The sequence below is a fragment of the Homo sapiens genome, chromosome 1 (genome assembly GCF_000001405.40).
Source record: "Homo sapiens chromosome 1, GRCh38.p14 Primary Assembly".
Classification (NCBI taxonomy): Eukaryota; Metazoa; Chordata; class Mammalia; order Primates; family Hominidae; genus Homo; species Homo sapiens.
This window is the reverse complement of record NC_000001.11, coordinates 76,958,202-76,971,403: the sequence shown is the minus strand read 5'-3', so window position 1 is coordinate 76,971,403 and position 13,202 is coordinate 76,958,202. Positions and strand designations below refer to the sequence as shown.

At 40.7% G+C, this 13,202-nt stretch overlaps 1 protein-coding gene across 3 annotated transcripts in view, besides 2 other annotated features; it reads right to left on the bottom strand.

Moving 5' to 3' along the window:
- The window catches only part of ST6GALNAC5 (ST6 N-acetylgalactosaminide alpha-2,6-sialyltransferase 5), a 200,067-nt gene that overhangs the window by 96,143 nt on the left and 90,722 nt on the right, over positions 1–13,202 (bottom strand). The window lies entirely within an intron of this gene.
- Positions 53–253: a silencer, noted in NCBI's record as "peak295 fragment used in MPRA reporter construct". NCBI's record gives its function as "represses an SCP1 promoter by STARR-seq MPRAs in K562 erythroleukemia cells {active_cell/tissue: K562}" and the evidence as "EXISTENCE:reporter gene assay evidence [ECO:0000049][PMID:32103011]".
- Positions 10,437–10,938: an enhancer, noted in NCBI's record as "NANOG hESC enhancer chr1:77426151-77426652 (GRCh37/hg19 assembly coordinates)". NCBI's record gives its function as "activates a minimal SCP1, AML or CMV promoter by ChIP-STARR-seq in primed H9 embryonic stem cells {active_cell/tissue: H9 hESC(primed)}" and the evidence as "EXISTENCE:reporter gene assay evidence [ECO:0000049][PMID:30033119]".

Below are 13,202 nucleotides of genomic sequence, written 5' to 3'. Positions count from 1 at the left end.
TGAAATCAATATCCCACGCAAGTGTGCTACTCTCCTCGCTCTGGGCCCGTAACACTTGGGGGTAGCTATACTGAACTGTATCCGGCATCTGGTTCCTACCTCACGGCCATGAAACTAAGATTGCCCACGCATTCCCCTTAAATAAGACATCACGACGCATCACGGGTCTATCACCCTATTTAGCAAACATTTAATTTTTTAATTTTGCAAATATTTAGCAAACAGGAGAGAAATTCCTTACTCTGAGGAATGCTATCTACAAATCTAAACAAAACAAAAAGTAACTTTCAATAAAGCTCATCCCTAATAATGACCTTCTGAAACATTTCTTTCTGAAATTGAGAATGAGATAAAAACAGTGGCTGTTACCATTTCAATTCACTATCATAATTGAGGTCATTTACAGTGCAATCAAGAAAGAACAAGAAATAAAAGTGGTTTTGGAAAAAAAAATATTTTCTTATTTACATATGATGCAATTATCTGTAAATCACATCATCTACAAATTATGTAGTGCTACAAATTACATAACACATCAAAAAGAATTCAAAGGTGAGTTATTAGAATGAAAATGAACAGACCCCAGCTACATGCAACACATGATTCTTAATGATACTGTTGAGTGAAAGTCATACTAAAAAAAATAGTTACTGTATGTGTCTTGGGATTGCTCTTCTCGAGGAGTATCTTTGTGGTGTTCTCTGTATTTCCTGAATTTGAATGTTGGCCTGCCTTTCTAGGTTGGGGAAGTTCTCCTGGATAATATCCTGAAGAGTGTTTTCCAACTTGGTTCCCCTCTCCCCGTCACTTTCAGGTACACCAATCACACATAGATTTGGTCTTTTCACATAGTCCCATATTTCTTGGAGGCTTTGTTCATTTCTTTTTACTCTTTTTTTCTCTAAACTTCTCTTCTCGCTTTATTTCATTAAATTGATCTTCAATCACTGATACCTTTTCTTCTGCTTGATTGGATCGGCTATTGAAGCTTGTGCATGAGTCATGTAGTTCTCGTGCCATGGTTTTCAGCTCCATCAGGTCATTTAAGGTCTTCTCTACACTGTTTATTCGAGTTAGCCATTCATCTAATCTTTTTCCAAGGTTTTTAGCTTTCTTGTGATGGATTCGAACATCCTCCTTTAGCTCAGAGAAGTTTGTTATTACCGACCTTCTGAAGCCTATTTCTGTCAGCTCTTCTAAGTCATTCTCCATCCAGCTTTGTTCTGTTGCTGGCGAGGGGCTGCAATCCTTTGGAGGAGGAAGAAGCACTCTGGTTTTCAGAGTTTTCAGCTTTTCTGCTCTGGTTTCTCCTCATCTTTTTGGTTTTCTCTACCTTTGGTCTTTGATGTTGGTGACATACAGATGGGGTTTTGGTGTGGATGTCCTTTTTTGTCCTTTTTGTTGATGTTGATGCTATTCCTTTCTGCTTGTTCATTTTCCTTCTAACAGTCATCCGCAGGTCAGTTGGAGTTTGCTGGTGGTCCACTCCAGACCCTGTTTGCCTAGGTATTACCAGCAGAGGCTGCAGAACAGCAAATATTGCAGAACAGCAAATATTGCTGCCCAATCCTTCCTCTGGAAGCTTCGTCCCAGAGGGGCACCTGCCTGTATGAGGTGTCAGTCGGCCACTACTGGGAGGTCTCTCCCAGTTAGGCTACACGGGGGTCAGGGACCCACTTGAGGAGGCAGTCTGTCTGTTCTCTGAGCTCAAACACCATGCTGGGAGAACCACTGCTCTCTTTAGGGCTGTCAGACAGGGACGTTTAAGTCTGCAGAAGTTTCTGCTGCCTTTTGTTCAGCTATGCCCTGCCCCCATAGGTGGAGTCTACAGAGGCAGTAGCCTTGCTGAGCTGTGGTAGGCTCCGCCCAGTTTGAGCTTCCAGGCTGCTTTGTTTACCTACTGAAGGCTCAGTAATGGCAGATGCCCCTCTCCCTGACAGGCTACTGCCTTGCAGGTTGATCTCAGACTGCTGCACTAGCAGTGAGCAAGGCTCCATGGGAGTGGGACTTGCTGAACCCGGCATGGGATATAATCTCCTGGTGTGCCGTTTGCTAAGACCATTGGAAAAGCACAGTATTTGGGCAGGAGTGTCCTGTTTTTCCAGGTACAGTCTTTGGCGAAGGTACGGATTCCCTTGGTTAGGAAAGGGAAATCCCCTGAACCCTTGCACTTCCTGGTTCAGACAATGCACCACCCTGCTTCGGCTTGCCCTCCATGGGCTACACCCCCTGTCCAACAGTCCCAGTGTGATGAACCAGGAACCTCAGTTGGAAATGCAGTAATCATGCGTGTTCTGCGTTGATCACACTGGGAGCTGCAGACTGGAGCTGTTCCTATTTGGCCATTTTGGAAGGGAATCAGATTCTCCAAGGTTGAAATGAAGGGAAAAAAGTTAAGGGCAACCAGAGAGAAAAGTTGGGTAACGCACAAAGGGAAGACCATCAGTGTAACAGTGGATTTCTTGGCAGAAACTCTACAAGCCAGAAGAGAGTGGGGGCCAATATTCAACATTCTTAAAGAAAAGAATTTTCAACCCAGAATTTCATATCCAGCCAAACTAAGCTTCATAAGTGAAGGAGAAATAAAATCCTTTACAGACAGCAAATTCTGAGAGATTTTGTCACCACCAGGCCTGCCTTACAAGATCTCCTGAAGGAAGCACTAAACATGGAAAGGAACAACCTGTACCAGACACTGCAAAAACATGCCAAATTGTAAAGGCCATCAATGCTAGGAAGAAACTGCATCAACTAATGGGCAAAATAACCAGCTAACATCATAATGACTGGATCACATTAACACACAACAATACTAACCTTAACTGTAAATGGGCTAAATGCCCCAATTAAAAGGCACAGACTGGAAAATTGGATAAGGAGTCAAGACCCATCAGTGTGCTCTATTCAGGAGACCCATCTCATGTGCAGAGACACACATAGGCTCAAAATAAAGGGATGGAGGAAGATCTACCAAGCAAATGGAAGGCAAAAAAGCAGGGGTTGCAATCCTAGTCTCTGATAAAACAGACTTTAAACCAACAAAGATCAAAAGAGACAAAGAAGGCCATTACATAATGGCAAAGGGATCAATTCAACAAGAAGAGCTAACTATCCTTAATATATATGCACCCAATACAGGAACACCCAGATTCATAAAGCAAGTCCTTAGAGACCTACAAAGGGACTTAGACTCCCGCAGAATAATAATGGGAGACTTTAACACCCCACTATCAATATTAGACAGATCAACGAGACAGAAGGTTAACAAGGATATCCAGGACCTGAACTCAGCTCTGCACCAAGCAGACCTAATAGACAGCTACAGAACTCTCCACCCCAAATCAACAGAATATACATTCTTCTCAGCACCACATCGCACTTATTCCAAACTTGACCACATAGTTGGAAGTAAAGCACTCCTCAGCAAATGTAAAAGAACAGAAATCACAACAAACTGTCTCTCAGACCACACTGCAACCAAATTAGAACTCAGGATTAAGAAATTCACTCAAAACCGCACAACTACATGGAAACTGAACAACCTGCTCCTGAATGACTACTGGGTAAATAATGAAATGAAGGCAGAAATAAAGATGTTCTTTCAAACCAATGAGAAAAAAGACACAATGTACCAGAATCTCTGGGACACATTTAAAGCAGTGTGTAGAGGGAAATTTATAGCACTAACTGCCCACAAGAAAGCAGGAAAGATCTAAAATTGACACCCTAACATCAAAATTAGAAGAACCAGTGAAGCAAGAGCAAACAAATTCAAAAGCTAGCAGAATGCAGGAAATAACTAAGATCAGAGCAGCACTGAAAGAGATAGAGACACAAAAAACCCTTCAAAAAATTAATGAATTCAGGAGCTGATTTTTTGAAAAGATTAACAAAATTGATAGACTGCTAGCAAGACTGCTAAAGAAGAAGAGAGAAGAATCAAATAGATGCAATAAAAATGATAAAGGGGATGTCACCACTGATCCCGCAGAAATACAAAGAATACTATGAACACCTCTATGCAAATAAACTAGAAAATATAGAAGAAATGGATAAATTCCTGGACACATACACCCTCCCAAGACTAAACCAGGAAGAAGTTGAATCTCTGAATAGACCAATAACAGGCTCTGAAATTGAGGCAATAATTAACAGCCTTCCAACCAAAAAAAGTCCAGGACCACACGGATTCACAGCCGAATTGTACCAGAGATACAAAGAGGAGCTGGTACCATTCCTTCTGAAAGTATTCCGATCAATAGAAAAAGAGGGAATCCTCCCTAGCTCATTTTATGAGGCCAGCATCATCCTGATACCAAAGGCTGGCAGTGACACAACAAAAAAAGAGAATTTTAGACCAGTATCGCTGATGAACATTGATGCAAAAATCCTCAATAAAATACTGGCAATCTGAATCCAGCAGCACATCAAAAAGCTTATGCACCACGATCAAGTCAGCTTCATCCCTGGGATGCAAGGCTGGTTCAACATATGCAAATCAATAAATATAATCCATCACATAAACAGAACCAATGACAGAAACCACATGATTGTCTCAATAGATGCAGAAAAGGCCTTTGATAAAATTCAACAGCCTTCATGCTAAAAGCTCTCAATAAACTAGGTATTGATGGAACGTATCTCAAAATAATAAGAGCTATTTATGACAAACCCACAGCCAACATCATACTGAATGGGCAAAAACTGGAAGCATTCCCTTTGAAAACTGGCACAAGACAGGGATGCCCTCTCTCACCACTCCTATTCAACATAGTGTTGGAAGTTCTGGCCAGGGCAATCAGGCAAGAGAAAGAAATAAAGGTATTCAATTAGGAAAAGAGGAAGTCAAATTGTCCCTTTTTGCAGATGACATGATTTTATATTTAGAAAACCCCATCGTCTCAGCCCAAAATCTCCTTAAGCTGATAAGCAATTTCAGCAAAGTCTCAAGATACAAAATCAATGTGCAAAAATCACAAGCATTCCTAAATACCAATAACAGACAGAGAGCCAAATCATCAGTGAACTCCCATTCACAATTGCTACAAAGAGAATAAAATACTTAGAAATCCAACTTACAAGGGATGTGAAGGACCTCTTCAAGGAGAACTACAAACCACTTCCCAACGAAATAAAAGAGGACACAAACAAATGGAAGAACCTTCCATGCTCATGAATAGGAAGAATCAATATGGTGAAAATGGCCATATTGCCCAAGGTAATTTATAGATTCAATGCCATCCCCATTAAGCTACCAATGACATTTTTCATAGAATTGGAAACAACTAAAGTTCATATGGATCCAAAAAGGAGCCCACATTGCCAAGACAATCCTAAGCAAAAAGAACAAAGCTGGAGGCATCACGCTACCTGACTTCAAACTCTACTACAAGGCTACAGTAACCAAAACAGCATGGCACTGGTACCAAAACAGATATATAGACCAATGGAGCAGAACAGAGGCCTCAGAAATAACACCACACATCTACAACCATCTGATCTTTGACAAACCTGACAAAAGCAAGAAATGGGAAAGGATTCTCTATTTAATAAATGGTGCTGGGAAAACTAGCTAGCCATATGTAGAAAGCTGAAATTGGATCCCTTCGTTACACCTTATACAAAAATTAATTCAAGATGGATTAAAGACTTAAATGTTAGACCTAAAACCATAAAAATCCTAGAAGAAAACCTAGGCAATACCTTTCAGGACATAGGCATGGGCAAGGACTTCATGACTAAAACATCAAAAGCAATGGCAACAAAAGCCAAACTGGATAAATGGGATCTAATTAAACTAAAGAGCTTCTGCACAGCAAAAGAAACTACTGTCAGAGTGAATGGGAAATATAGAGAATGGGAGAAAATTTTTGCAATCTACCCATCTGATAAAGGGCTAATATCTAGAATCTACAAAGAACTTAAACAAATTTAGAAGAAGAAAACAACCCCATCAAAAAGAGGGCAAAGGATATGAACAGACACTTCTCAAAAGAAGACATTTATGCACCCGCAGACACATGAAAAAATGCTCATCATCACTGGTCATCAGAGAAACGCAAATCAAAACCACAATGAGATACTGTCTCACGCTAGTTAGAATGGCGATAATCAAAAAGTCAGGAAACAACAGATGCTGGAGAGGATGTGGAGAAATAGGAATGCTTTTACACTGTTGGTGGGGGGGGTGGTAAACTAATTCCACCATTGCGGAAGACAGTGTGGCAATTCCTCAAGGATCTAGAACTAGAATTATCATTTGACCCAGCCATCCTATTACTGGGTATATACCCAAAGGATTATAAATCATGCTACTATAAAGACACATGCACTTGTATGTTTGTTGTGGCACTATTCACAATAGCAAAGACTTGGAACCAACCCAAATTTCCATCAATGATAGACTGGATTAAGAAAATGTGGCACATATACACCATGGAATACTATGCAGCCATAAAAAAGGATGAGTTCATGTCCTTTGCAGGGACATGGATGCAGCTGGAAACCATCATTCTGAGCAAACTATCCCAAGGACAGAAAACCAAACACCACATGTTCTCATTCATAGGTAGGAATTGAACAATGAGAACACTTAGACACAGGGTGGGGAACATCTCACCCTGAGGCCTGTCATGGGGTGGGGTCAGGGGGAGGGATAGCATTAGGAGAAATACCTAATGTAAATGACGAGTTAATGGGTGCAGGAAACCAACATGGCACATGTATACCTGTGTAACAAACCTGCACATTGTGCACATGTACCCTAGAACTTAAAGTATAATAATTATAAAAAATAGTTACTGTATTATCCTACTTATATAATGTTTAAGAAACTGACAAAATCAAATTATACCTAGGCAGTCACGTTATGAAAAAATATCAAGCAAGCAATTATAAAAATCAGAAACTTTATCTCTGAGGGGGAACTTCGGGGCCCATGAGAGAGAAAGTAGTGTGATAAGAGGTTGAAAAGGGGCCATTTAGAATTCTGGGTTTCATGCTATGGGCCATGGATTCATTGGATAGTTTTGAGCCACGAAATATCACTGACCTGGTATTTTTCAAGAGGACAACTCTGAACAATTGTGGGTTGTGGAAGGACAGAACTGGAAGCAGGGAAATCCGTAAGATTACTGCAGTAAGTACTTCAGACAAGTGGCGTTATCAACTTGGATTAAGAGACTTTATTTTTTTTTATAGCTGCTGTTACAAATTACCACAAATACAGGGGCTTAAAACAATACAACTTACTATTTTAAAGTTCTGTAGGTTACAAGTCCAAAGCAGGCCTCACTGGGCTAAGATCAAAGTGTTGGCAGGGCTGTGTTCCTTTCTGAAGACTCCAAAAAATAATCCATTTCCTCACTTTATTTAGTTTCTAGAGACCACACACATTCCTTGGCTCATGGCCCCCTCCTCTATCTTCAAAAACATTGCATTTCTCTTACCATTCTCCTGGGGGCACATCTCTTTTTGATTTCAACTTCAGTGGGAAAAGGTTCTCCCCTTTTATGGATTCATATGATTAGGTTGGGTTCACAATGGAATAATACAGGATTATCTCCCCATCTCAAGGCCCCTAACCTTAATCACATGTGCAAAGTCCCTTTTAGTAAGTCGTGGTAAATTATTTGGTAAGGTAAGGTAACACATTTAAAGGTTCTGGGGATTAGGACATGGATATCTTTGTGGACCTTTGTTCTGTCTACCACAAATGTAGAGGTGGAAATGGACAAAAGAGGACATAAAGTATTCACCTGCTTTTGAGAAGCAGCCTGAGTGCTTCTGGCAGCTCCACCTGCCTACTAAATTAAGACTCCCAATCCATTCTGTATATGATGGTCACCTAAACCAGACCAGGCTTGTGATTTGGACACCCCATTCTTCAATTCAGGTCTGTCCTGAATGTCTTCCTTAGTCCCCATGTTGCTCAGTCCCATTTATCTCCTCTTTTCAAGGTCAAAGACATTCAGGACAACTCAAGTCTTTGGTCATGCACAATTCCATGGTGCCTTTGCAGGCAGAACTGTATCTGCTGTAATAGCAATGGTTGTAACTGCACAGCAATCCTATTAGCCAGAGCACTCGCTGTGTGATCTTAGTCTATTATCAATAAAGCGTGGGCTGGTCATGTTAAATTTGATTTATTTTCTAGCTGGAAAAAATATGGCTATTTGAGCCTTTAGCCACATTCTTTAATGTGATAAGTATTTCAATAACTTCTAGCTAACAGGCAATCTCTCTTTACTATCAGGGTCTCACTTAACCCTGCCTTAGCTCAGTCTGTTCCTAGTCATCCCACCTCCCTGGTTTTCTATTCTCACCAGATCTTCCACAAATGTCCCTGGTAATCCTATGCACAAATTTTCTATAGGGAGGAAGAGATATATTTCAAGAATGATGCTTTGAGAAGCCAATTCCATCTCCATACCAATATGAAGTATAATATAACAACTCTATAAAAAAAGTCAATGTTCAGCTTTTTCCTTCAATGCTCTTGGTAAACAGTAAAGAATTATAAATCTCCCTTTAGTTTTGGAGTCAATAGAATATACTAATGAGTGGAAAACAGCAGCCATATATCTGTTTCTTTCAGATTATGAAAAAATCTGATTAAAATGCAAAATGAATATGTAGTATTTTGGTTTAAAAGATCCAAATTAACACCATCTCTTTGTTAGATTCCTTCTAAAAATACTTTTCTTAAAATATAAATGTGTGTGCACATGCACTAGACAGAGACAGAGAGTGAGGGTGAAAGAGAATTCATTCACAGATTCAAGTGTTTCTTCTCACATAGCAACTTTAATACCTTCCACTACCCTATGCTTTTAGGTTCTTTTGTTGCTATTGAAAAACCCTTCATAAATTTACTTGGAATTTTCCAAATCTGCACTTTAGGATCTGCATTGTGTAAATAGGTCTCTGTTAAAATGAAAGCAGGTGACATTATCACATACAGTCATTGAGCTTTGAATCTGTAATTACATCTCCTTCAAGTCCTTTTGACTTTCCACTGTAAGTCTCTAAACTTTCTGTGAGTGGCTTGACATTTAATCTGGGGTCATCCATGCTGCCCTTCTTAGGCTTTTCTCCTCACTGTCTTTCAACTCCTTATGGCAGCGATATGACTAGAAATGAACACTACTTTCAGACACAACCAGCAAGTAGCTCTGAATTTTTTATCATGTTTTGTTCAATCTTCTTCCTCAACTTTCATCTTAGTTATTCCATCTGTCTCTCAGCTATGTATATATTCAGTTGTATCAGCATCTTTGTCAGAGATTACCAAAGAATCACTTCTTAAAAAAAATCAGCCAACTGTTTATCTGCCTACATGATTGTTCAGTGTTTGTTTCACTTTGGACATTTAGCCCTCACCAGTTGCTTTACATTAATCACTTCATTCATGCATACCACAAACATTTTATTCAGCATCTTCTGTGGGCCAGTCTTTATTTTAAGCACATGGATTTCAATGGTTGGCAAAAATAAACTCTTTTTCTGCATTCATGGAAATTGTAGCCTGGTGGGGTAGGGAGAAGAACATTATTAGTAAAAGGACCCTGCAAAAGATGTAAAATTACAACTGCAAGAAATACCCTGGAAATACCAGTTGCTACAAGAATGTGTGTTTAACAGGGGCAATCAAGGAAGACTTTCTGAAGAAGTGAAATTTGACCTGAGATCTGAAAGATATCCAAGCATTAACTAAGGAAAAAGAGGGAGTAGCTGCATTCAAGGGAGTGGGAACGGCATATGCAAACACCCTCTGGTGGAAAGAAGCTCAGAATGTTTGAGAAACTGAAATGAGGCCAGGGGCTGGTGCACAGGCAGCAAGGGAGTTGGAGTAGCAGATGATGCTGGAGAAGGCGGCATGGGCAGATCATGGAGGATCATATTAGTTCTATCAAGGATTTGTTCCTCACCCCAAGACAATGAAAACCATTGATGGGCTTTATCCAAGGGAGGCTGACATCACCCAATTTTCACGTTCCTTGTCTTTTTTTCTTTCTTCTTCGCATTCCAGAGACATGTGTGTGCTGCTAGTAACAATTGTAAGCAGGATAGCTCACAGGACTCTAGGCCAGAACTTTAGAATTTGCAGTACAGGGATTCTTAATTGGATCCATAATCTAGCCTCTCCAAAAGTGCTTTATGGGCAACTTCGGGCAGGATCTGGGTGGCTGCTTTCTGCAGGAAGTCAGGAACCCCGAATGGAGGGACCGGCTGAAGCCATGGCAGAAGAACATGGATTGTGAAGATTTCATGGACATTTATTAGTTCCCCAAATTAATACTTTTATAATTTCTTATGCCTGTCTCTACTGCAATCTCTGAACATAAATTGTGAAGATTTCATGGACACTTATCACTTCCCCAATCAATACCCTTGTGATTTCCTATGCCTGCCTTTACTTCAATCTCTTAATCCCATCATCTTCGTAAGATGAGGGGGATGTATGTCGCCTCAGGACCCTGTGATGATTGTGTTAACTGCACAAATTGTTTGTAGAGCATGCGTGTTTGAACAATATGAAATCTGGGCAACTTGAAAAAGAACAGGATAACAGCAACGTTCAGAAAACAAGAGAGGTAACCTTAAACTCTGACCGCTGGTGAGCCGGGCGGAACAGAGCCATATTTCTCTTCTTTCAAAAGCAAATGGGAGAAATATCGTTGAATTCTTTTTCTCAGCAAGGAACATCCCTGAGAAAGAGAATGCATCCCTGAGGGTAGGCCTCTGAAATGGCCGCTTCGGGGGTTGGCCATCTTTTATGGTCGAAGCTGTAGGGATGAAATAAGCCCCAGTCTCCCATATCGCTCCCAGGCTTATTAGGACGAGGAAATTCCTGCCTAATAAATTTTGGTCAGACCAGTTGTCTGCTCTCAAACCCTGGCTCCTGATAAGATGTTATCAATGACAATGCGTGCCCAAAACTTCATTAGCAATTTTAATTTCGCCCCGTCCTGTGGTCCTGTGATCTCGCCCTGCCTCCATTTGCCTTGTGATATTCTATTACCTTGTGAAGCATGTGATCTCTGTAACCCACACCCTATTCATACACTCCCTCCCCTTTTGAAAATCACTAATAAAAACTTGCTGGTTTTATGGCTCGGGGGGCATCACGGAACCTGCTGACATGTGATGTCTCCCCCGGATACCCAGCTTTAAAATTTCTCTCTTTTGTACTCTGTCCCTTTATTTCTCAGACCGACTGACACTTAGGGAAAATAGAAAAGAAACTACGTGAAATATCGGGGGTGAATTTCACCCGATATCTGGCTGAATTTTCCCTGATAGCTACTGGTGAATATACCAACATAGTGTATATTTAAAAGTGGGGTATTGAAGAAAATGAAGAGGACCTGAGGCTGTCAAAGGGTCAGGCCTCATAGAGGCTGCATAATACTTCTTCTACCCACTCCCGCTCAGGTGTCTTTCTTTTCTTATCCGTCTCCAAAGGAAAATACACTGCTTTTGTTGTAACCCCTTTTGTGATCTCAGGATAGAAGCTTTCAAAGGTGACTGAATTGTCTCTGAGAACCCACTTTGGGCAAGGCTCCAGCTAGATGTCCTCTGAGACAAGGAAGTAGTCACTGCTCATGAGAAGCTGAAACGTTAGTGGAGAATTTGGGGCATAAGCCAGTGACTAAGAATGTGACAAGACATAAAGCTGTTCTGAAGCATCTGACAAGCAGCCAGATTTGATGGGCCGTTGGTCCTTGACAAACTCTGCAGAAATGAGAGCCTCAAGTGCCAAGAGACCAACACTCAACTTTCTTAAGAAACTCACAGTCAGATCATCCCTGGTCCTGTCCACTCTGCGCTTCAGCAAGCATCCACCACATTTGCACAAGGCCAAAGCTTGCCCCTCATTTCTCTAAGCATCTGTCCATTGCTAAGCAAACTAGGCCATGTTTCCTTATGTTCTATTGTGCCCATAGGCAAGAACAGAAGGTCTAGATAAACAAGCCAAAGCAAAGAATAATTCCAGAAGAATGAAAGAGTTAAATGTAAAAAGCAAACCACAAAAAGAGAGAAAAAGATAGATACAATTATACTATACCATGTCAGAATTTTAAAATGTGAAATATATAATTGTATTTACATCAAAACATCAAAGCAGCAAGAATAAATATATGCAGGCTTGGAGTTTCTAGACATTAAATATGGATCTCTCCACACATGTTCTCTGAAACCTACAGAGATGAACAAGGATAGCAAATAAAACCACCCATAACCCCTGTCTACAACATAAGTAAGAGACTGAGAATGCTACAAATCTGAATTTACACAGAGGTGGGGAAATAAAAATCTGACACCTGCAGAGCCAGCGCTGAAGGCCTTGCTGGAGCCGAAAGTCAGCCGGTGAATGCTTGGCAAAGAGGAGGAGGCAGAGGAGGAGGCAGTGAGGCCTAGCAAGTGGAAGAGCACAGATAAAATCATTCCCGGTAAGAAAATGTCACACCTGAGAGGATAAAGAGAGAAAGGTCAATGACCTGGTGGATCAGAGCTACTGGGGCACAAAGGGAGGAGGCTTGAGAGTGCAGGTCCAGGCATGGCTTTTTTGGGAGAGGAGGTGCCCTTGGAGCCTAGATGGTGAAGCAGAAGAAAGTAAGCATTCAAAACAGAGAGACCAATGAGGAAGGAGGCCATATGACATACTTACCTGGCAGGGGAGATACCATGATCATGAAATTAAGGGTTGTTCAGGAAGAAGAGACAGCACACTACCACCCCCATCCCATCACACAAAATGTGCCATCTACTATTAAAAAACAAAAAAACAACAACAAAAAACTTCACTGTGTCAACAGAAGACAGTGTTCTTGATCCAAGAAATCAATTAAGTCTCTCTAAAACCTTATTGCTGTCTACACAGAATCATCTGGTTTTGTTGGTACAGGAAAACGCAAGATAATTAAAACATGAAACAGTGATGACATCCCCACAAAGTCAATATAAAACTTTAGAAAATGAGAGTCAAAACATTTCAGCAGGTGAAAATTTTTTCCTCCAAACAACTACATAGCGGAAGAAAACTAACACTACTGCCGGACTGAGTTAAATGTGTACAAAAAAGCACTTACAGATATTTTCTAAACACTTCTAATCAGAAATCCAAAAGCTCTGAAGAAAAAAGGACAAATAAAAAGACGATGTGAAGCGAGAGTTGAAAAGACTGGGAAACAATGTGC